Below are 23,433 nucleotides of genomic sequence, written 5' to 3' on the forward strand. Positions count from 1 at the left end.
CTGCCTCCTGCCTGCCTCCTTGGGCTGGGCAGGGCTGAGGGCGGAGGGAGAGAGAGAGAGAGGGAGGGGGAGAGGAGGAAGGAAAAAGTTGGCAGGCCGACAGCACAGCCGTGTCTGCATCCATCCAGAGGAGGTCTGTGTGGTGTGGGGCGGGCCAGGAGCGAAGAGAGGCCTTCCTCCCTTTGTGCTCCCCCCGCCCCCCGGCCCTATAAATAGGCCCAGCCCAGGCTGTGGCTCAGCTCTCAGAGGGAATTGAGCACCCGGCAGCGGTCTCAGGCCAAGCCCCCTGCCAGCATGGCCAGCGAGTTCAAGAAGAAGCTCTTCTGGAGGGCAGTGGTGGCCGAGTTCCTGGCCACGACCCTCTTTGTCTTCATCAGCATCGGTTCTGCCCTGGGCTTCAAATACCCGGTGGGGAACAACCAGACGGCGGTCCAGGACAACGTGAAGGTGTCGCTGGCCTTCGGGCTGAGCATCGCCACGCTGGCGCAGAGTGTGGGCCACATCAGCGGCGCCCACCTCAACCCGGCTGTCACACTGGGGCTGCTGCTCAGCTGCCAGATCAGCATCTTCCGTGCCCTCATGTACATCATCGCCCAGTGCGTGGGGGCCATCGTCGCCACCGCCATCCTCTCAGGCATCACCTCCTCCCTGACTGGGAACTCGCTTGGCCGCAATGACGTGAGTGGGGTGTCCCTGGGCTTGGGGGGGTTCTAGAATGATGCTGAAAGGCACTGGTTCCATCCTCTGCCCATTGTGCAGATGGGGACACTGAGGAACGGAGAGGACAAGAGGTTGCTGGAGGTCACGTAGAGAGCTGGGGGGAAGAGCTGGGGCTGGAACTCAGCTATGCATGCCTCCCAAAGCCTGTTTTCTGCCAGGCACTGTGGGAAGCTGAGATCCAGAGAATAATGGTCTTGCCAATGTCCCCTGCAGGGCATCTATTATGGGGAATAAGCTTGGCCAGCAGTTCCTCGCCCCTTGGCTGTAGCTTTTTGGCCCTTCTCAGTCCTGCCTGTGCCGCCAGCTCCCTCCTCCTGCAGCCCTGCACCCTGGGGAAACTTTGCCCGCTGTCCCCAGCCACCCTGAACCAAATGCCCAGCCTGTCTGCAGCTGGCTCTGCAAGTGTGTGAGCAGGACTCCCTCAGGGAGCCCCCCATATTCACACTAGTTTCCAAATAAACCACCTCTAGGAATCAAGAGAAAGGCCCTCTTCCACTCTTTTGCCCCTGAGATTAGACAAAGATAAGGGAGTGAAAACACTCTCTGGGGCTGTTTGAAGGCAGTTTTCCTGGATTACAGTATGGGCTGGGGGGCAAGCGCTGGGCTCCATGGTCTCTAGGCACTGAGAGGTGTGGCGTGTGTGTGCATGTGCGTGTGCGTGTGTGTGTGTGAAGGTGTGTATGTGTGCATGTGTTTGCCAGCATGAGTCTCTGTGCTTGTGTCAACTGTGTGCATGTTTGTGCTGCTGTGTAAGGGTGTGTGGGGGTGAGTTTGCAACACGTGCCCATGGCTCCTGGCTTGAATGGGGTCTGGACTGGGGTCACTAATGACAAGCAGATGCTGGTGACTGGGTGGCAGCTGTGGAAAAGAATGTCTCCTGGGCTGCTTAGCATGGCAAATTGGCCCTGGTGGCAGCTGCCTGCTGTCCCAGACACGGCCTTTCCCAGCTCCTCAGACAAGTGCAAACTCAGGCCGGGCTTGGGCCACAGCAGGGGAGGATTTGGCCTGAGAGACTGGGGAAGGCTTGGAGGATGTCTCTGAGGGCCCAAGGGACAGGTGAGCAGGCCTGGGGGTGCCCTTACAGGGAGGGAGAGAAGCCAAGGAGCAGAGAGGAGGACTCGTCTAGAGAGATGAGGCTGGCGGGGCTGTGGGCAGGGCATGTGGGTGTGGGGACGGTGTGGGCCATCTCTGAGGGCGCCTCAGAGATGGCAGATAGTGATTACAGCAGCTGTCCTCTCGCTTCCCAGCCAAAGTTCAGATCCTGCGGCTGGCAGCCCAGGAGAGGCTAGGTGAAGGTCTGGTGCAGAGGGCAGCTGGCTCAGCCTGGCCATGGGGGGCTTAGCACTTCTGTGTCACGGTGACACCTCACCCAACCTCCTCTGCAGCCAACCTCTGCTAGGCCCAAGATTGAAGATTAGCTCCGTGGGCTGGAGTTTAGACTTTAGCCAGTTTAGACGTGGCCGCGGGGGATGTACGGGACAGAGCTCAGGCAGGCCACATCAAGCTCTGCCCCCCCAGGCCTCAGTTGCCAGTGGGTGCAGAGCTTGTGGCCTCAGGGAGTTCTGCTGGGTAGGGTCAAGCTCACACTGAAGCTTGGCTGGGTATGATGGGCTGGGGGAGCGTCCCTGTAGGGGAGTGGATGTGATTTCCAGGCTTTCTGGCCCCGTCTCTTCCCTCCCATCTCACAGGGCGGAGCCTCTGCACCTGCTGGCGAAGGCTTCACCCTCTAGTATGCGCATCCGAGGCAGAGGCGGGAGGGTGGGCCCCTTCTGTGCCATCTGGAACAGAGGCCACACCAGCCTCCCGTGCCCCATTCCCTCCCTGGCCTTCATTTTTTATAGTCACCCCAATACTTGGGCTGGGCGTGTTGCAAATGGGAGAGAAAGAGGAGCAGCCTAGTGTGGGGTCCGGCCCTGGGCTGAGAGGCAGACACCTGGGTTCAAGACGTGTCCACTGCTAACTTGTTGAGCTTCTTTGGAGCTGCGGACCCTGACCCTCGAGAGGGAACTCAGGTCTTGTGACCTCACAGCCACACCCAGACAGCCAGCTCACTTCATTGCTTTGAGCTTATCACCCATCCCACGAAAGCTGGCTAAGAGCAGCCCAGCAGGGGCAGTGCTGAACATAAGGGCGCTTAGCATGATGGTGGGGGCTCAGGCGCTGTCCTGTCCCAACAGTGGAAGGGTGGGGTTCAGGACCTCAACTCTGGGCCTAGAAATAGAGAAGGTACCCCTCTAAGGGCTCCCGTCAGACACTGGCCCTGGAACTGGAGGGGCCTCAGGGGTGGCCTGGATGCCTCAAGAGGAGCAGGGAACAGTCTGGGCAGCAGGTGACACACTCTCTTTCATGACCTGGGGTAGGCTCCTGCAGCCTCTCTGGCCCTGAGCCCCAGCCCAGTCAAAACCTGGGTGGGGCAAGTGGTTGGCATGGAGATTTCCAAGGAAAACAGAGAAAGATGTGGCAGGAAGTGGTTGGGGTGAGTCAGGGGGTGTCCCTTCGGGACATGCTGGGGACAACTTTCTCCTGACTGACTCAGGGCTCAGGATATGCCCTAGAGAGACCGTGGGCCTCCGTCCAGCCTGCAAGGTCCCGGCTAGTTCTAAGAGCCAAATACCAATTTTGGCTAAGGGTGAGAGGCTCTGAGGCTGGGGTGGACACTCTCACCTGTCCCTGTCCTAGCTCAGCCACTAACACCATGTGGCATCACACAACAGACTGGCCTGTGTGGCCCTAGTTCCTGTCTATGAGATAGGGACATAGCAGGGTGTGGCTGGGCTCTGAGAAGTAGGAGATGCTGGTGGACTCAGGATTCCTGGCATTTGCTGGCTTTTTTCATTCTTCTGCTGTCTGGTCTGCTCAGCCGGCTCCCTGCAAGCATGACCAGGGACTGCTGGGTGCTCAATGCAGGGCTGGGTTAGCCCGGCTCCCTCCCGAGAGAAGCCCACAGCCCTAGGTCAAGATAAGCCAGTGCCCAGCTGCCTGTGATATGAAGCAGGAGGCAGATGCGATAAGAGGTGTCAGGGCGGGCCCGGGAACTTTTGAACTTAAGGGGTGGGAGGGCCAGGAAGGCATCAGGGAGGAGGTTTCGTAGGAGCCTGAATGTGGAGACACTGCAGAGGGAAGGGGCAGAGGGACTGTGTGAGCAAGCACAGGCTAGGAGGAGGTGAGGGCCGTGGTACGGGAGTTGTTGGGTATGGTCAGGCTGGGGGTGCATGGGAGGAGGGTGGTGAGGGCTCAGGATTCGGGCCAGGGGCTGCATCCGGGGGAAGGGGTCTGGATTCCCAGAGCCTGTGATTTCAGCCCGCTGGGCTCAGGCAGAGGGCAAAGCTACCCTCTTCGGGGTCTTCTCCCAGCCCTGCTAATTCCAGGCCTGACTGCTCAAGAAGTGTTTCTACCTGCAGCATCAGGGGCCTGACTGAAGCCCTAAGTTCTCCCCTTTATCCCGTTTTTCTGGGCTTCAGTTTCCCCAGTCATAGAGTGAGAGGCCTCTTCATGCCACCAGTTCTCCCGGGGGTGCTGCTGCCTCCTCCAGAGCTCAGGGGAGGGATGGGGAAAGGAAGGCAGAGTTTCCATGTCCCTGCCCAGCCCGTCCTGCCCAGGGAGGGGCTGGGGGCTGGGTGGTGATGCCACATCTGGGACATATAATTACTGTTTCCGCCAGCCCCAGATGAGGGGGAGGGCACAGAGATGGGGAGCTTTGTGGTGGAGACTTCCCTCACCATGGAAAATCCTGACGCTGCTTCCCCTTTAGGGACCTCAGAACAGCCCAGCCGGTCCCAGTGTTGCCCACCCTGATGCTTGGCCCTGACTGGGATTTGCCCTGGGAACTCTGAAGGGGCCATGCTTTGAGAGGGGACACGGCCTCCTGGGATACCTGTCTGAGGGGCTCACCCCCTGCTCACCACTCCCAGGCCACAGCCTCCTGTCACACCTTGCCTTCCCTTCTCCACCCCAGGCAACCTTCTAGCAGCATGAAGTGGCCATTAGCTCACTGCAAGCCAATTCCAGATGGTACCCCCACTTAGTCTAGGGCCCCCACCCAGCAGGGGCCATGGCCCTTACCTTCTGGAAGCACCAATGAGTCTGGAGTCTCCTGAGTGGCTGGGATCTGAGCCCTCACACCGGGAGGTGAAGGCAGGAAAATGCTGTCCGCGAGGCCCTGCAAGTGGCCAGGATCCCCTCAGTCAGGGCTTCCCCATGGGGATGAGAGGGGCTCCTTGCCCACATGGAGTGGTGCCCAGGGGGATCATGAGGGGCTGTCTTCACTCAGCCAGGAGCTACAGTTCTGTGGGGTGGGCAGACTCTGAGGCTGAAATCTCCAACTTAAAAGATATCCGGAAAGGCCGGAAAATGCCCCCGGCCCTTCCAGCAGCTCCTTTCAGTGCCTGCAATCTCGCTGTCAGGGCCCCTTGAAAGGCAGATTTCTACTCAGTGTAAAGAAGGTTGTTGTTGATATTGTTGTTGACACGAAGAAGGGGCTGTCTCTAAGTCAATAAGCTCCCTGCCATTAGGGGTGTGCAAGTAGATGCTTTCTGGTGAGGAGGCTGCTTTGGGGGTGCTAGTCTATGCGGGGGTCCAGTGGGGTGGGTGACAGGTTCTGCAGCATAGGCTTTGTGTCATGCTGAGATCAGCAATTCTGATGGCCTGCGGGGGATCCTGTGCTTAGGTTTCTGGATCTGGGGCTGGAGAGTGACCACCCCGATGTGAGGCAGGAGGCACTTTTGGAGACTGCGGGGGCTCGAATCTGGGCCAAGGCCTCCATTTTACTGATGGGGAAACTGAAGCCCACAGAGGCGTGGAGACTTGTCAAGGTGGCACTGCCTCCTAGCCCTTGATTATTCCTGCTGCTCCAAAGTGTACACACATGGCACAAACACAAACATGCACACACATGTGCTCTTACGTGGAGGACACACACACATGGTACACAAAGCACATTCTCAAGACTGGGTGGTCCCACTCAGACTCTGGGACCCAAGGAGGGTTGGGCGGGGATTCCTCAATGGAGCCTTTTCCTCTCCCTGCCCTGGAGTTAGGAAAAGAAGGAGGGAGGGAGGGAGGAAGCCATTGCTTTGTGTATTGTTTCTTGTCAGGAAGATGAAATGGCTTCTGGGAGCAAATAAAGGCCTTGTTGAGACCTGCTGCTTTCTCACATGGGGGGCTCATTTTTTTCTCTTCTCTTCCCTCTCTAGCTGGTAGTGGCAGCTATGTGGGTGTGTGACACAGGGAGACAGTGAGGCACCCAGAAGTGCCATCAGACATACCAGTGCAAACACACAGCACAGCCTCCAGGACCTCATGTCCTGCAGGGATGCCTGTATGATATAGCTGTTCCCAGGGAGGCCGAGGCACTTGGTCAGTACCTCATCAGTTGATGAAAAAGAGTGTGCATTCTCTAATTCAGGGGTACAGGGTTTTCATATTTTTCTGAAGTCAAGCTTGTTAATTATGGGGTTCAAACCCTCCCTGATCATGTTATTGGTAGTTTTCGGCTGCTTCATTTATTCTGTACATTTCTAATAGAAGATTGTTAACATTTTTCACTCTGGTGGTAGGGTGATCCAGTCCTCCTTGTAATTTTGTCAATTTTCCCCTCATTTATTTTTAGGCTATGTTGTTTGGTGCATACAAGTGGGGGATTTTTGCAGTTCCTTTATAGATTTTTATTTTTTTTTTTGAGACGGAGTCTCACTCTGTCGCCCAGGCTGGAGTGCAGTGGCACCATCTCGGCTCACTGCAAGTTCTGCCTCCCGGGTTTATGCCATTCTCCCACCTCAGCCTCCCGAGTAGCTGGGACCACAGGCCACCACACCCGGCTAATTTTGTTTTTGTATTTTTAGTAGAGACGGGGTTTAACCGTGTTAGCCAGGATGGTCTCGATCTCCTGACCTTGTGATCCACCCGCCTTGGCTTCTCAGAGTGCTGGGATTACAGGCGTGAGCCACCGCGCCTGGCCAGTTCTTTTATAGATTTTTAAAATGTAATTATTGTGTAATAAACCACTTACAATCTAACAAAAAAGAGAAAGAGGGAGTCAGCCCTGGACACATGTGGTCATCACAGACACAGCAGACACTTATCTACAAAGACACACAGAGGCACACAAAACCAGGAATCCCCCCATGTCCACGTGTGAACACCCATGGAGGAGTGACACTCTGGAGCCCACATAGGTCCCCTCACTGCCCAGTGCTGAGTCTTGGAGGCACTGGGGTGGGCAGGGCAGGCCTCGATGTCTCCTATCCCTTGAGAACGAAAGCTCAGAGCCTCAGTCAGGCCTGGCTCTGGAGCCTGCTCTTCCCCAAGGCCAGGGCACCAGGGTGCCCAGGCCAAGTCAGGGGCCCCATGCCTTGGAAGCCACCCTGGTTGGCCTGTCTATGGGTAGCAGGGAGTGCTTAGAGCACATTGCCTGGAGAGATCATCCCTGGGCTGCCCTAGAGCCAGGACACACTGGCAGCCACAGAACCACCTTCTGCCAGCTCCCAAGTCCAAGCTGGGAATAGCCAGGTCCCTTGACTGGGCCTAGGAGTGGCCAGCCCATTGACCTGTGAGTGTAGGGTGGCACAGACTATGGGGCAAGGATCCTGGCTTTGCTGCATCCTCCCTGGGCCTCAGCCTCTGCGTCATCATCTCACTGAGCCATCGCACAGGCTGCCCTCTAGGGCTCCCAGAGGCTAATGATTGGCCCATTGTTTCCCAGCTAGAAAGTGAAGAAGACCGCCCTGGGTCCGGAGAGCATCTCTGGAGCCAGGCTGCCCCTAGCAAGGGTGGGAGTTCTAGAAAATTAGCATTCTCTGCCACTTCTATCAGCACACAGTAAGCCTCCCCTCAGAGGCGTGGGCAGAGAAATGGCAGAGGTCCCCCACTCTGTCTTCACCGAGCTCCCAGGCCAGGAGGAGATGCACCCACATAGGCCGCAGGAAGATTGATTTCCTACAAGATGCACAGAGAATTCAGTGAGGGCATGGTGGGTGGGAGCAGAAGTTAATTCCAGCCAGGGATCTGGGAAGGCTTCTAGGAGCTGGTGGGGTCTGAACTGGGCCTTGAGTAGTGGGCTTACAAGGGCTTAGCACAAAATGGAGAGCTTGTATCTTTCTGACACTTCAGAAGAAATGTGTGGATTATTCTTTCGGTAATACTTGCATTCACAAAACCCAGGGCTGCAGACAAAAGCGGGAAGACAATTGAGAATTGAGAATTGAGAATTGTTCTGATTCTTACTTTTTTTTTTTTTTTTTTGCCTTAATAAGACCTGGGCCAGGCAAAACTACCTGGGGATGTGCAAATATATATGTACATATATATAAAACAAGTGACTACAATGGGAACTGTCCTTGTTTAAGCAAGTTTTCAAATTTAATGGGTTGTAAACAGTAACGTACATTTGAAGTATTTTACCTGCTCTTTCCTGGACATTGAGTTTCAACAGGCCTTTGAGTGCCCCTTCCAATTCTGAATTATCAAGTGTTTCCAGATGTAAATAATGCAAGTGTATTAGATAGTTGAAGGAAGGTTGTCAGTAGATGTTGAAGCTATCAGGGGAGGCTTCCTGGTGGTAGTGGTAGTGGGTATTGGAGAGGAAGGCTGTCAGCCCATGTGGTTCTCAGCAGTCACGAAGGCACATTCCAGAATTCCCAGGGCAGGTGGCTGACCCCTCCCCTTCCCAAGGACTCAGAGTACAGGGCCTGGAACTATCACCCTCTGCTCTGCCCACTTTGCATGAAAAGCATGTTGTCTTTGGGTAGGGGCTGGGGCTCTCGCACCTGGTTAAGAACCAGAGGAGATGAGCTCTTTCTGGTCACATCTGTGAGGGATGGGGCTGGGAGGGTTCTCCAAGGCGGGAGCCACTTACAGCGATGACTCCATTAATCATCGGGGAAGGGCTGGTTTCAGGACTTCTGCCAGCTAGCAATTAGGCCAACCCTGGAGAGCAGAAGAGAGAGGAATAGAAGGAGCCACGAGCTTCCTGAGGGCTCAGATACAGAGGGACAGGGGCCTCACAGGTGCAAGTGTGGGTGGGCATCAGGACTAGCCGGGCTGGCCTCACCAGCCTCAACCCCATTCAGCCTGTCCTAACTCTGGGCAGGCTTCTGCCAGCAGCTCCACCCGCCGTCACTCCTTCTGCCTGTCCCCAGATCCTGCACACACAATGAGAAGAACCAAAACAAGAGTCACTACCACTGCCCCATCCCTCCTGCGTCGACAACTCTTTCCAAAAGCCCTGAGACGGCCCCTTTGGCCTTTGAACCTCCCAGCTGCTCTGGAGAGCAGGCACGGACAATGAGATCCATTTTGCAGATGGGAAGACTGAAGACCAGAGGGAATAGGCCATGCTCATGGTGCCAGAAAGTAGAAGAGTCAGAACCTGAACACAGGGCTTCTGCCTCTTTGGCCCAACCTTGGGACAGAAAGGGAACTGGGCATTGGCCAGAGGGCTGGCGGACCTAAGGGATGTAGCCCTGGGGTCCGCCAGGAAAGGCCCAAAGCTGGGGCTGCAAGGCAGGGGAGGGGATGTGAGTCATTCCCTGTAACCCAGGGCTGCAGACAAAGGCGGGAAGAGAATTGTTCTTGTAGGATGGCCTCAGGGTGGGGCTGGGAAAACCTCCAAGGTGTGCCCCCCTACCTTGGATTTTGCAAAATTCTCTATGGCCTTGGAGACACTCCCATATCCTGAGGATGGGAGCTGGGTAGTTTGTCTCCCAGCTGGGAAGTGTTTGGGTGCACCAGCCCTGCCTGGGAGAAGGCAGCCTAAGTGGCCTCAAGTGGGCATCTTTGCAAGTGAGCCTTTGCTGATGTGGTCCATCTCCCCTGTGTGAGTGCACTTAGCCCCTGGGACGGCCACAAAGCATAGTGGAAGGTGCTGGGGCTTCCTGGGGAGGGGTCCTCCGGGGGCAGCTGCATGGGGAGGGCCTTCATGACCTCACAGCAGCTTCCATTCCCTTCTCTTTCCATGAGTCATGTTTCTAAAAGTGGCCCAGGAGTAAGTGGCAGCCAGACGGTGGTGGCGGGGCCTATCTGGCCAGGCAGAGGGAGGGTGAGGCTGAGGCCAGCAGTGGGGAGGAAGAAGAGAGAAGGAGAGACAGGGAGGGCAGGGCCAGAAGCAATGGGAGACAGGCCTTGGACCAAGGAAAGAGACGGGGTGGAGAAGGAGAGAGAGAGGGTGGAGACAATAGGGAGGCAGGCACAGAGGAGAAAGAGGGGTGGAGGGAGCCAGGACCTCACCGAAGGCCTCCTCAGCCCTGGAATTTAGATGCAGTCGGGCATGGGGTGGAATGTTCTGGACTTTTGGGTATGAAGCCGTGTCCCCTGCTGGGCCTTCCCACCTTTTTGCATCTCTTCTCCTAGGAGTGCTCCTGACCATCACCTTCATGCCTGGGGCTCGCCCCTTGCCTCTGGTCTTGGTACCCCAGAATACCCTGGCCTGGATGCAGCTGGATGCAAAGGCCCCAGCTCACCCCAGGCCTCTCCAGCTTCTAGGCAGAGTGGGGCCTGGGTCTAGGCAGGTATTAGGGGCTGGGCTGGAGTTTCATTAACACAGGGGGTGGGTTCAAGGCCTGATTTCCACTACCTGCCGTGTAGGCTTGCCTGGGACCCTGTGATGGGCTCTGAAGGCCCATCTGAGGGTCCGCCCTTCATGCCTGGGCCTGGGAGGCCTGGGTATCCTTGGGGTCCTGGGACACAGTCCCTGCCTACCCTCCTCACCAGTCCTCACCACCTCTCTCCCCTGCAGCTGGCTGATGGTGTGAACTCGGGCCAGGGCCTGGGCATCGAGATCATCGGGACCCTCCAGCTGGTGCTATGCGTGCTGGCTACTACCGACCGGAGGCGCCGTGACCTTGGTGGCTCAGCCCCCCTTGCCATCGGCCTCTCTGTAGCCCTTGGACACCTCCTGGCTGTGAGTCAGGGGCCCTCCCAGATGGAGGTGGGGGAAGGGAGGGCGGGGGCTGGTGGGGTGCCCTGCCATGGGCAGCCAGTGGGACTCCCGACAGGGCTCTTGCCATTGGGTGGAGGATGGCGGGTCAGCGCTGGGGGCTGGGGGCAGGGTCCTGCCCTGGAGAGGAGCACAGGGACCTCCTGCCCAGCTTGGGGTCAGCACTCCTCTTTCCCTGGGTCTCATTGTCCCCCACCCTGATTGTTCTCTTTCTCCCTCCAACCTCTCCCTCCTCTCACTCTCTCTTCACCTATGACTCTCTGCCTTCGCCCCTCCCTCTGTTTCTTTCCCTCACAGATTGACTACACTGGCTGTGGGATTAACCCTGCTCGGTCCTTTGGCTCCGCGGTGATCACACACAACTTCAGCAACCACTGGGTAGGAGACCCACGGGGGGTGGGGTGGGAAGCTTTGGTGTCCCATGGTAAGCCTGACCCCACCCTCACAGTGTCCCTTCCTGTTCTGGAGGCTCTGGGAGACAGCCAGAGGACAGGAAATCAGGAAACTGAGGCCTGCCATGTAGAGGCAGGCTGGGGGTCACACTGCCAGCACTTTCAGGCCTAGTCTCTGCCCTCCCAGCTCGGCCCTGCCCCATGCTGCCTGGCCTCCAGGTCTTCCCAGCTGCGTGGTTAAAAGTGGGGCTCCAAATCCTGGCTCAGCCACTTTCGGGTTTAGCATGACCTTGCGCAGTGTGCTTGAGCTTTGGTTTCCTGAGCTGCGGAGGGGGATATGGTGGTGCCCACCTCTCAGGGTGGCCGAGAAGAGGAAAGGGCTCACTCCCCATCTGTAAACTGAGCTCAACACAGAGGAGGCGCTCAGTGGATTTTAGCTCTTATGGTTGTGGATGTGGATGTGCTAGGCCAGCTTTGCATTAGACAATGGTCTCTGGGGCCCTTCCAAAGCTGGGAGTGTGGGGGCAGTGGCCTTCCTCAAGAAGGGGCTGCTACTGCCCATGCCTGAGCTGGGCCCCACAGAGGCAAGGAGTTGACCCTACCACGTACTCTGGCCTGGGCCGGTTCTGAGGGGCACCGGAATCATGATGTTAGGATTTGGCTCTCCTACCTGCCTCCATCCCAGGTGGGAAAAACCTGTCCAACGGGGTGGTGGGCTGTGGGGTAACCTAGGGAACGCTTCCCAGGGGCTTTTGAGTGGAGCCCTCTGAACACACCTGCTCTGTTCCTAGATTTTCTGGGTGGGGCCATTCATCGGGGGAGCCCTGGCTGTACTCATCTACGACTTCATCCTGGCCCCACGCAGCAGTGACCTCACAGACCGCGTGAAGGTGTGGACCAGCGGCCAGGTGGAGGAGTATGACCTGGATGCCGACGACATCAACTCCAGGGTGGAGATGAAGCCCAAATAGAAGGGGTCTGGCCCGGGCATCCACGTAGGGGGCAGGGGCAGGGGCGGGCGGAGGGAGGGGAGGGGTGAAATCCATACTGTAGACACTCTGACAAGCTGGCCAAAGTCACTTCCCCAAGATCTGCCAGACCTGCATGGTCAAGCCTCTTATGGGGGTGTTTCTATCTCTTTCTTTCTCTTTCTGTTTCCTGGCCTCAGAGCTTCCTGGGGACCAAGATTTACCAATTCACCCACTCCCTTGAAGTTGTGGAGGAGGTGAAAGAAAGGGACCCACCTGCTAGTCGCCCCTCAGAGCATGATGGGAGGTGTGCCAGAAAGTCCCCCCTCGCCCCAAAGTTGCTCACCGACTCACCTGCGCAAGTGCCTGGGATTCTACCGTAATTGCTTTGTGCCTTTGGGCACGGCCCTCCTTCTTTTCCTAACATGCACCTTGCTCCCAATGGTGCTTGGAGGGGGAAGAGATCCCAGGAGGTGCAGTGGAGGGGGCAAGCTTTGCTCCTTCAGTTCTGCTTGCTCCCAAGCCCCTGACCCGCTCGGACTTACTGCCTGACCTTGGAATCGTCCCTATATCAGGGCCTGAGTGACCTCCTTCTGCAAAGTGGCAGGGACCGGCAGAGCTCTACAGGCCTGCAGCCCCTAAGTGCAAACACAGCATGGGTCCAGAAGACGTGGTCTAGACCAGGGCTGCTCTTTCCACTTGCCCTGTGTTCTTTCCCCAGGGGCATGACTGTCGCCACACGCCTCTGTGTACATGTGTGCAGAGCAGACAGGCTACAAAGCAGAGATCGACAGACAGCCAGGTAGTTGGAACTTTCTGTTCCCTATGGAGAGGCTTCCCTACACAGGGCCTGCTATTGCAGAATGAAGCCATTTAGAGGGTGAAGGAGAAATACCCATGTTACTTCTCTGAGTTTTAGTTGGTCTTTCCATCTATCACTGCATTATCTTGCTCATTCTTCAGTTCTCTACTCCCTCTTGTCAGTGTAGACACAGGTCACCATTATGCTGGTGTATGTTTATCAAAGAGCACTTGAGCTGTCTGAAGCCCAAAGCCTGAGGACAGAAAGACCCTGATGCAGGTCAGCCCATGGAGGCAGATGCCCTTGCTGGGCCTGGGGGTTTTCCAAGCCCTCAGCTGGTCCTGACCAGGATGGAGCAAGCTCTTCCCTTGCTCATGAGCTCCTGATCAGAGGCATTTGAGCAGCTGAATAACCTGCACAGGCTTGCTGTATGACCCCTGGCCACAGCCTTCCCTCTGCATTGACCTGGAGGGGAGAGGTCAGCCTTGACCTAATGAGGTAGCTATAGTTGCAGCCCAAGGACAGTTCAGAGATCAGGATCAGCTTTGAAGGCTGGATTCTATCTACATAAGTCCTTTCAATTCCACCAGGGCCAGAGCAGCTCCACCACTGTGCACTTAGCCATGATGGCAACAGAAACCAAGAGACACAATTACGCAGGTATTTAGAAGCAGAGGGACAACCAGAAGGCCCTTAACTATCACCAGTGCATCACATCTGCACACTCTCTTCTCCATTCCCTAGCAGGAACTTCTAGCTCATTTAACAGATAAAGAAACTGAGGCCCACGGTTTCAGCTAGACAATGATTTGGCCAGGCCTAGTAACCAAGGCCCTGTCTCTGGCTACTCCCTGGACCACGAGGCTGATTCCTCTCATTTCCAGCTTCTCAGTTTCTGCCTGGGCAATGGCCAGGGGCCAGGAGTGGGGAGAGTTGTGATGGAGGGGAGAGGGGTCACACCCACCCCCTGCCTGGTTCTAGGCTGCTGCACACCAAGGCCCTGCATCTGTCTGCTCTGCATATATGTCTCTTTGGAGTTGGAATTTCATTATATGTTAAGAAAATAAAGGAAAATGACTTGTAAGGTCCTTCAGGCTTCCTGTAGTTTTTCTTCTTTTGATGCTGTGTCCCCACAAATGTTTCTGGATTACTCCACAAGGAAATCAGGCCACTGCTAGAGACCCAGTCTGAGGAGGAGCCACTGCCTCCCCTTCTGCCTTCAAGACCCCTGATCTCAGGCAATGGATACAGCCACACCACAGAACCCCATCTGAGGGACACAGGGTCCTGCCCCTAGTAGGAGACTTCCAGAGCCCAGTGGGATGACTTTGGAGACCTGGGGGCAGGGAAAAGGGGCAGGCTTCTGATCAGTTTAAATGGACCGATGGGAGCCATTTCTGATTCCGGAGTATGGAAGGGATGGGGGAAAGCAGGGCTGAAGTCTAACAGCCCCCTCATCCCCTCTACCCTCCACAGAGCAGGGCCCAGGGAACACTAGGGATTGCTCCACCTTCCTCCCTCCCTCCACTCACATTTGCAACCCATCTGACCTGGGCTGGGCGTCTCATGGGAGACAGACTCACTCATCAGAGCCCAGTGCAGTTAGGGCTACTTCAGGCTGAGACTGGGACCCTGGCTCCTGACCCTCCCGACGTGCACACACACTTAGTAGTGCCTGATAATAGGGAACAGGTATCACCACGGCAGTGGGCTGAGGCAGGAAATAGTGTATGGACAGGTCCTGGGGCCCCAGCACTGCTCCTGGGAGACACATGGTTCCTGTCCCCTCTGTGGAATGCCTGGCTGATGGTGATATAAGGGGGGCTGGGTCTCAGGGAGCCAGGGGCTAGGCATCCGCAATGAAGACTGAGGCCATGTTGATGGAACAGGGTTTCTAATTTAAGTGTGCCCTGGGTCACTAGGCTGTCTAAGTCCCTGCAAATCAGTGCATCACATCTGCACACTCTTTTCCGTTCCCTTGCAAGAACTTCTAGCCCATTTAATAGATAAGGAAGCTTATCTCCCAGCTTAAGAGGGGCATATAAATGGCAGAGTGCCAGCCAAGCTATGGGAATTGGGTATGGGCCAGCCCGCTGCATCCCAGGCCTGCCTGTGAGGGTGTGCCGAGGCTATCTCTCACAGCCCTTCTCAGCTTGTCTCCTTAATTTGTCCCATTCTTCTTGGCCTGAAGCCCTCCCAATCACCACTATGGGCCCAGCCACGCCACCTCAACTCCTACTCATTCACTTCTACCCCCACCCCCATTTCACCCCCGCTCCATGGCACAGCCTTCTTTAGTGTATTGCTTAGATATGACTTTTAGAATCCTAGAGCCACGAGGCAGGGCCTGAATAAGCCATTAGGGAACTGGTATTTCTTGAGCACTTACCATGTGTGAAGAATCTCTCTGAGATTTTGCATACATTCGCTCTAATCTTTACAACATCCTTAGAAGGTAGAGATACGTGTCCCCATTTGTAGAAGACGCCAGGGCCCCTGAAGATGAAATGATTTGCCGTAGGCCACACAGCAGGTTGGTGGCAGAATTGGGATTTGAACCTATTCTGCTTGGCTTCAAAGATCAGGCTCTTTGCACGATGTGGTCTGGGCCGGTTTTGTCATGATTCCTGCTAAGTTAAGCTCTGGGCTAGCCAGGAAGCCGGACTGCATGAAGAAGGCAGCCACTCCTGCAGAGTGGGCATGGGGAGGGGGAAGGGAGGAGAAGGGCCAGCCACAGAGCCATCTGGCATCTGGAGAAGCCTGTTCATTCCAGGGCTAACTGGACGTGGTGTCACCCAAACCTCCCTGCTGCCTTCCACGGCCTGACTCTCCCCCTCCTTGGGAGGAAAGTGTCTGAGGACCATGTTCACCCAGCAGAATACCTGAGAAGGGGAAGGGCAATGCTGCACCATGAGGGATAATAATGCACTAAGACAGGCCCTCAGCTACCCATCAGGCCAGGGGGCAACAGCTTTGGGCTAAAGGGATCCTAGACTCCTCCTCACCTTCCAGCCTGTGGGTTTAGTGCTCCAGGCACCCCATCTCTTTGGGGCTACCCCTGACTCTGATCTTCTCATCTTCTATACAGCCCAACACAGGGAGAGGTTTGAGGAAATAACAGATGAAGTGGTGCTCCTTGGGCAGCTGAGACCTTGTCTGTTTGTTCATCAGACTTTAATGGAGGTAGTAAATTTCCTGAAAACTCCCAGGATTCAATCTTTTTCCTCAGGCTGTTGAACATTCAGGCAACTGCACATGTGATGTGACTTGGTGAGGGGCACCTGTCACGCATCTCTGACTGGGTCCCTGATGAGACCAGACAACAGGTCACTATCTCCATCAGACACCCTCCTGGCCCTCCCCTTGAGACTTGCACACGGAATGGCTCAGCTGGCTTGGAAGGTCATGCCCTCTGCACCTGGCCCAGAAGGAAGCAGGATGTAATCCAGCAGCCACTGAATCCTAGAATATTTGTCTTTCCATTAAATTCACAAGAGCAAAAAGTTACGGTTCTGCAATTGCTCCATTTATTCTGAGGCCCCCTAGGAACCCTAGGAAGATCAGGTCAGCCAGAGCCCAGCAGTGAATGTTCACTTCAGCCACACATATTTATGATCTCAAGCATCGGATCAACCTCTTCTGGGTTTCTAAACATTCAGGAGTCTGAGATCCTTACAGATCCATATTTTCTTTTTGACATTTCACTTTCTCCTCCAGAATCAAGGGGATTCATCTTTCCTGGCCCTGGAGGGGTGTTGAGAGGTTATAGGGAGAAGACTTGATTTCTGAAATACCGTGGACTAGGATTCATCCACTGGTCAGAGATGTGGTGAAGCTTCAGCGGGGTTAGTGGCCCATAGCCCTGGCCCTGCTCCCAGCACCGTCATCCATCTCAAAGCTCCTGTGGGCTCCGAGGGCCCAAATGGAAGGGTGTGGGTGGCTCAAGGCCACTTGACCACAAGGACCACGGCACTCTTGGGGGATGCGGTAGGTGCAAGGAGGGTTCTCTCTCTTTCGGGATTCTTAGGCGGTCCTCAGTATCCCTGGAACCCAAGCCAGGAGTCTGGAAAAGCACTGGAGGAACTGGTGCCGGGGCCCCCACCCATGGCGTGGCCAGGCCATGTGCTGGCCCATTGGGATTTTTCCATCGCTCCTGTAGGTCATGCCTTCACTGGTCAGAAGCCTGTCTAGGAGGGGACAGTGATTAATGTTTCATGGAGGAACTGCTGGGCATGACACCTTGTTTTCTTTAGGTTTAGAATACAATGAGGACGATGAGTGGAATTTGCTGCTGAGCTGGGGGCCAGGATGGGGCCATTCTTGGGGGCCCAAAGACCCAAAGGTAGTGATGTTTACTGTCCTTACTGCCAAAAAGGGGGCGATTGTGTAGGTAGGGAAGGCAGGTGAAGCCCGTGCTTACAGGGGTGTCTTCCCTAGCCCTCAAGAGCCCACTAGTCCCCACTGATACCTTGGGCCCTGGTGTGCAGAGAGACCTATGGCAAAGGGTATCCAGCAATTTTAATGAGCTCATCCTGCTTAGGTGATTCTGCTTCATTCCAATAAAGCCATGTTCTCTGCATGTAGGATTTTGCTTATTTTTCTGTTCTTTCCAGCGCATCAATCTGGAACTGGGTGAGAGCACAACTGATCTTCAGCCGTACGGGCTAGTACAGATTCACCTGTTTTTTTTTTTTTTTTTTTGAGATGAAGTCTCCCTCTGTTGCCCAGGCTGAAGTGCAGTGGTGCGATCTCAGCTCACTGCAACCTCTGCCTCCCGGGTTCAAGTGATTCTCCTGCCTCAGCCTCCCGAGTAGCTGGGATTACAGGCGTGTGCCACCACACTTGGCTAGTTTTTGTATTTTTAGTAGAGACGGGGTTTCATCATGTTGGCCAGGCTGTCTTAAACTCCTGACCTCAGGTGATCCATCCACTTCAGCCTCCCAAAGTGCTGGGATTACAGGCACGAGCCACCGTGCCCAGCCCACCTGCTCTTAAAATATTAAAATATTTTCATCTGTTTTGAGCTATCCAAGTAACATCCTCCCATCCCTGCTCTCTGGCCTTCCTAGCTTCCCGGCCTCTCTCTATTCTCCCCCAGACCTCCCCACAATCCAGCACTCAATGTGTTAAGGGGGCCCCTCGGACCCTGTCCAGTACTAAAGTTGTGGGATAGTTCTGATGGATTGGTGTCCCCACAATACCAGGATGGTATATGTTTTACACATCAACCCTGGGTGGGAAGCAGTAAGAGGTGTCTATCCAGCAAGGTCCAAGTTAGAAAAAAAGTGTGTGTATGTGCATGTGTGTGTGTGTCAGCAGATTGGGGCACATAGTCCAAGGCTGGAGTCCAAGGCTCCTGCCCTCTCTGGTCCTCAGTCTCCCCACCCGTAAGGAGAGTGGGTGAAGTCGTCCCTTCTCTGTGATGTCTGTGGTGTCCCAGTCCCTCCCTGACCTGGAGGTGGTGCTTTGCTTCATCTGGAATGCCCAGGGAGTGAGGCCAGGTGGGACAGTGACAGTGCATGTGTGGGGTGCAGCTGGGACCTGGGGGGCATCTTTCCCCCAGGATGCTCCCATTGTGCTCTGACGGCTCTGCTCCCTCTGTGCCTTGAGTTATGTGGAACTCAAGAGACGTGTTCTTCCTAACAGATGTCACCACCAGCTACTAGACTCAGTTTGCCTAGAGCCAGCATGCTCTCCAGGTAGAATATTGATTTGAGAAGGCTGGCCTGGCTTGTGTTCATTAAGGGTGAATTGGCATACATTTCTCAATAAGCTTAAGTAGGTAAGTAGATATATAATTTGTAGAAGAGTATTATCCTTTCTCCCTCTGAAATAGTAATATGAGGGAAGCTGATTCAACAAAAGAGTCCAATCCAAAAAAAGCAAATCAGAGAATCAGTACAGATGAAAAAGTTCTTAAGGATTGAAGCTTACAATTCACAGCAGTCTTGAACACTCTGAAAGGGGTCAAAGTGTCCCTGGTGCCTTATTTCATATGAGTGTTTTTTTTTTAAACTTAGCTTATATTTTTCATAATGCAACTTAAATAGATGTAATAACTTATGCCTTTAAGGAACTCAAATAGGAAACCAAAACAAATCAAACCAATGAAAGTAAGAAAATTTATTTTAATCATGTACGTGTAAAGTTGATGGCTGGGGGTGGTGCTTATGGCACACAGGGTGTTAATATATTTGGAATATCACTTTGGGTGTGTGTGTGTGTGTGTGTGTGTGTGTGTGTGCACGTGCATAGGAGGTTCAGTTCTTCGGAGAGTCATGTCAGGCCTGTCAGCAGGAATGCCCACGCTGCATCTGTGCACGTCTGCGAGCTGCCTGTGGGCCCAGCTGCAGGGTCTTCTGGACTGTGTCAGGCTACTGCCTGCCGGGGATGACAGGATTCATGTGGACTCCAAGGAAACCTTTAAATCTAGCTGTTGAACAATATGAGGGCATCTTATCCAGACCCAGTCGCAGAATAGAGGCACATTGCCGAGTTCTGGGCAGCTGATGTTGTTTTTTCCTGCTGGGAAGAGCAAGTTCCTGGGGGTCTGGTGGGAGGCTGGGCTCCCCTTCCTCACTTGCCAAACCAGGCTGTCAGGACCAATGCTCTCATCCATCTTCTTTGCCAGATCCAACGTCTAACCTTGGACTGATTATACACAAAATATTTTTTTGGGTCAGTGAACATTTTTTTTTCAATAAGAAATGTATAATAAATTCGAAATGTGATAAGAATGTCAGTAACCTTTGTATTCATTGATCACATTTCCTCAGCTGACATTCCTTGTGAAGTCAGGCACTGGGAGGTGAATTCCATATTTAAGACGGCATAGCGTGGCCAGAGCTAGTTTCATGTCCCAGTGAAATCATTGACAGAGACAGGTTGTGGAGGCTGGTCACAGGGGATGTGGCCCCATAGTTCCAACAGGCCACCTTGCGCGTGCCAATGCCAAGTGCATGCCAACGCCAAGCACGTGCCGCAGCTCTGAAATACACCTCAGGGTGCCCTTTCCTAGCGTTCTGTGCTTTCACCCTGTGTCTGGGTCTCAGCAGCGAGGAGATGGACTCAGGGATCTCCTCGCCCTCCCTATGCCTGTACCTTTTTCTGTCCTGCCTTGCTTTCCCCCCCTCTCTCCCATCTGTGTCTCTGCAGACCTAAAGAGGAGTCTCCATTCCAGGCCCTGCGGGAGGATTTCTGGGCCCTTGGGTGGGAGTGACTCCTCTGCTAAACTGTTCGTGAAGTTCCCTGGAACTGGTGAGCCGCTACCGCGCCTGGATTGTAGCTGAAGTTCCCTGGAACTGGTGAGCCGCTACCGCGCCTGGATTGTAGCTGACGGGCCTGTGGCAGCTTCCATCCGAGACGAACTCCAAGAATTTCCGCTGCTGGCAGTGACCTCCAGGGCTGGGAGGAACAGCTGCATCTGCCTCCAGGAATGTGAGGTCTGAGACGCCATGCCCAGGAATGCCTCCATGGGCTTGCAGTTTCGATTCCAGAAAATTCAGAGGGTTCCAGACCCCTGCCCCTTTCCTTCTTTCTCCCTAAGTGTGAAGCTACCCAGGCCGCCCTCGGGGAGATTTTTCTGGAGGGAAATATCCTGGAGAGTTGGATTTGAAACACCTTAGCAGCCAGAGGGACTTTACCAATAGGTGCCACCCATGCTCCTGGCTAAGGCCTGAGTGGAGTGGCTTGGGGAAGTCACCTGCCCTCTGTGGTCCTCGCCCCGTGAGGGTCCCAGCTCTTGGAGCTATTGACTGATTTTCACGGGTGGCGAGGTAAGTTTGGAAACCACATCACCCTCTTGGAGCCTCACCATTCGAGTCAGCAGAGCAGAGGCTCTGACAAGTTCTTCAATAAGAACTCATTTTATTTAAGCAAGCGTTTACCAAACTTGTTTGTCCACATAACCTTCTTTCGGAAGTGACATGGATTACCATTTCAGACAACTGGATTTCTACAAAACACCCATTGTAAATGCTGGCCTGGGTGTTTTCTCTGAGGGCCCCTTAGCTTTCAGATTGCCCTGTATAAAGCCTCAGGGTGGCTTAGTCTATCAAAACCTCTCCTGAGGGCAGGTGTGAGAGAAGAAGGAGGAAAGTGAGGTTTAGAGTTCCCAGTGATAGTGCTGGTGAGGTAGTGGGGAGAGGGGGCAGGTATGGGGTGTGCCAGAGAGACAGAGAGAAGCAGGGAGAAAGAGAAGGAGAGAGGAAGAGATTGTGACCCTCCCACGCTCTCCCTCCAGGCCCATCACTGATTAATCCCTGTGCTGCCCTGCTGGGGTAGCTTGTACAGGAGCCAGCAGCTTCTCCTGGGGGAGAAGGTCCCCAGGAACGAAGCCTCCATGAATCATTGACTGTCCTTCTATTGTGCTGGAACCAGCTGGGGCTGGTGTCCGTGCCAAGCTCCTGGAGCTGTGGGCAAAGGTGGTGCAGGCTGGGGGTGAGCCCAGGCAGAGCTACGGCCTCATCCAGACGCTTCCAAAATAGGCCAATCCCAGCCCATCTGGATGGGCTCTGCACACCGAGACTCCCTTGCTCCCGAGCCACTGCAGCCAGTGGAAGTAGAGTGAGCACTGGGCTAGGAGTCAGGGCCCAGAGTTCCAGGCTCCCCTCTGCTACTGACTCACCATGGCACCTCGAAGGAGCCCCTTCTCCTTTCTCGGCCTCAGTGTCCCCATGTAGACATGGGGATTGAATTTGAGAGTCCTGAAAGACACTCCCGGCAGTCTACGTGTTGGCCCTGGAGCCTTATTATTGAGACCCCAGCTGATATCCTGCAGCTCTGCCCTAAATCACACCTCACGGGCTCCACGCTTGCTCAGCTTCACTATCAGGGACACACAGAGGGACGGGGGTCTGGGGACCTTTCTCAGAGGCTCCGGCATCCCAGCGACCAGCGTTAGGTGGGGCCACTGTGACGGTCCACTTGTAAAAGGGGTAGGCCTGAACTCACCCGAGGGGACCTGCTGCCCCTGCCGCTGCCTTGCTGTGTGACCCTGGGCAGCCTCTCCTTGTGCTGAGGCCCCCATAACACAGCCCTGAGAGGAAGGCCTGAGGTGGCTGCTGTGTGCTCTCACTGTGGCGGGGCCTCTCTCTGGCCCTGCTGCAGGAGCCAAGAGCCAGTCCTGCCTGCCCGCCTGTGGGAGGAGGAAGCCCGTGCGACCCTCACAGGCCTGGCTCTCATTCCATACACTCTGGGGCTTATCCGGGTGGAAACATCACCCTGGCACCTCAGCCCAACTCGTGGGGAAGCTGCCAGAGAGGCCCCTTTCCCGGGTCCTCCCAGGGGAACCATTTTCAAAGCTGAGAGCTTAGCACTCCCAGGGAGACCGTCTTCAAAGCCCTGCCCACGTGCCCACACCGCCCCTACCCTCTGCTGCTGGATGCTAATCCTTCGGGGACCCCTGCAGGGCAGGTTCTGGGGCTTAATGCATTGAGGAGGGAGTTAGGCTCCTTAGCAGGTGGGGCTGAGGCAGAAGCTTCCTGTTGGCGTGGTTGTCCTGGGACCGCCGTGTCTGCCTGTGGGGATACTCGGGTTCATGATAAGAGAAAGCCAGATGAGAGCTGGAGGTGATGGGGTTTAACCAAAGCCCCGACACCTGCATCATCATAGAGCTGGGAACACTGAGGCCAGAGAGATGGGACCTGCCCCAAGTCACCTCTGGCCTCAGTCGCAGAGATGGGACTGGAGCTCTTTCTGCTGCCCTGAGCTAGCGTTGGCCCTCACCTCTGATTGCCTTTTACTGTGACCATTTCTCATTTCTGCTTTTCTCTGCCCATGGGGGACAGTCCTACACCATCCCTGCCAAGGCCTTTACAGCCCCCCAAATGGTCCTAAGCACAGGCACGATCGCCAGCTCACCTGTCCTTGCTCTGAGCACCGCCATCCCTGCTGGCCTCTCTTCCACTGTGAGTCCCAGGAGACAGTTCCAGGGGCAAAGAAACATTCGCTGAACAAAGAAGAGGAGAAAACAGTGTTCAGGGGGCCCGGGCCTTGTAGGCTGGGCATTCTGGCCAGGCCAGGGGCACTGGTTCCCCAGGTGCCTAGTGGAAGGCCTGTGGTGTAGGAGCAGAGGCCAGAGGAGCTGCTGGGGAGGAGGCTGGCCTGGGGGAGCTGAGCAAACTCATGAGACTCAGAGCTCTGGGTGCCTGTGATTTCAGGATAGAGTCTGGGCTTTGGAGATCAGGGGTCCCTGACTTGGGTCAGAGGGGAGGCTAGAATCCTCAGCGTGGTCAGCGAGGGGGCAAAAGGAGCACCGTTTGCAAAGTCCCTGCCGTGTATTTGGCACCGCGCAGGAACTGCATTTCATGTTTACTGCTTGGCTTGATACTCACAAATGAGCTGAGAGTTAGGGATTACTCATTCATTCATCCAAGAAATATTTATCAAGCTCTTACTATTTGTCAAGCACCATTCTGGGTGCTGGGTATTGAAGAAAACAGACAATGTTTGCATTTTATAGATGAAGAAACTCTAAATCAGAGAGGTTAGGCAAGCACCCAAAGTCACACAGCTGGAAAGGTCTGGGACTAAGTTCTTTGCCTTTGTCTATAATGGTTGGGCAGAAAGGCAGGGCGGTGGAGTAGAGAGGGCCCGATGGCCTTGCTATGTGAGCAAGAG

General features: G+C 55.0%; 1 protein-coding gene across 2 annotated transcripts, besides 1 other annotated feature; it reads left to right on the forward strand.

Annotated features, from left to right (window-relative positions):
* Positions 238 to 13,901, forward strand: AQP1 (aquaporin 1 (Colton blood group)). 2 transcript variants are annotated; one of them, NM_001329872.2, is made up of 5 exons: positions 238 to 678; positions 10,451 to 10,615; positions 10,949 to 11,029; positions 11,835 to 11,993; positions 12,212 to 13,901. In NM_001329872.2, the coding sequence occupies exons 1-5, from the start codon at positions 295 to 297 to the stop codon at positions 12,392 to 12,394; spliced, it is 972 nt and encodes a 323-aa protein (NP_001316801.1). In that variant the 5' UTR covers positions 238 to 294; the 3' UTR covers positions 12,395 to 13,901. The 2 variants fall into 2 exon arrangements, with proteins under 2 accessions (NP_001316801.1, NP_932766.1); NM_198098.4 differs by having other exon boundaries at positions 11,835 to 13,901.
* Positions 10,118 to 10,298: a silencer, noted in NCBI's record as "fragment chr7:30961348-30961528 (GRCh37/hg19 assembly coordinates)". NCBI's record gives its function as "represses an EF-1alpha promoter that drives an FKBP-Casp9 reporter gene in an ReSE screen in HepG2 liver carcinoma cells {active_cell/tissue: HepG2}" and the evidence as "EXISTENCE:reporter gene assay evidence [ECO:0000049][PMID:32094911]".

The sequence above is a fragment of the Homo sapiens genome, chromosome 7, assembly GCF_000001405.40.
Source record: "Homo sapiens chromosome 7, GRCh38.p14 Primary Assembly".
NCBI lineage: Eukaryota > Metazoa > Chordata > Mammalia > Primates > Hominidae > Homo > Homo sapiens.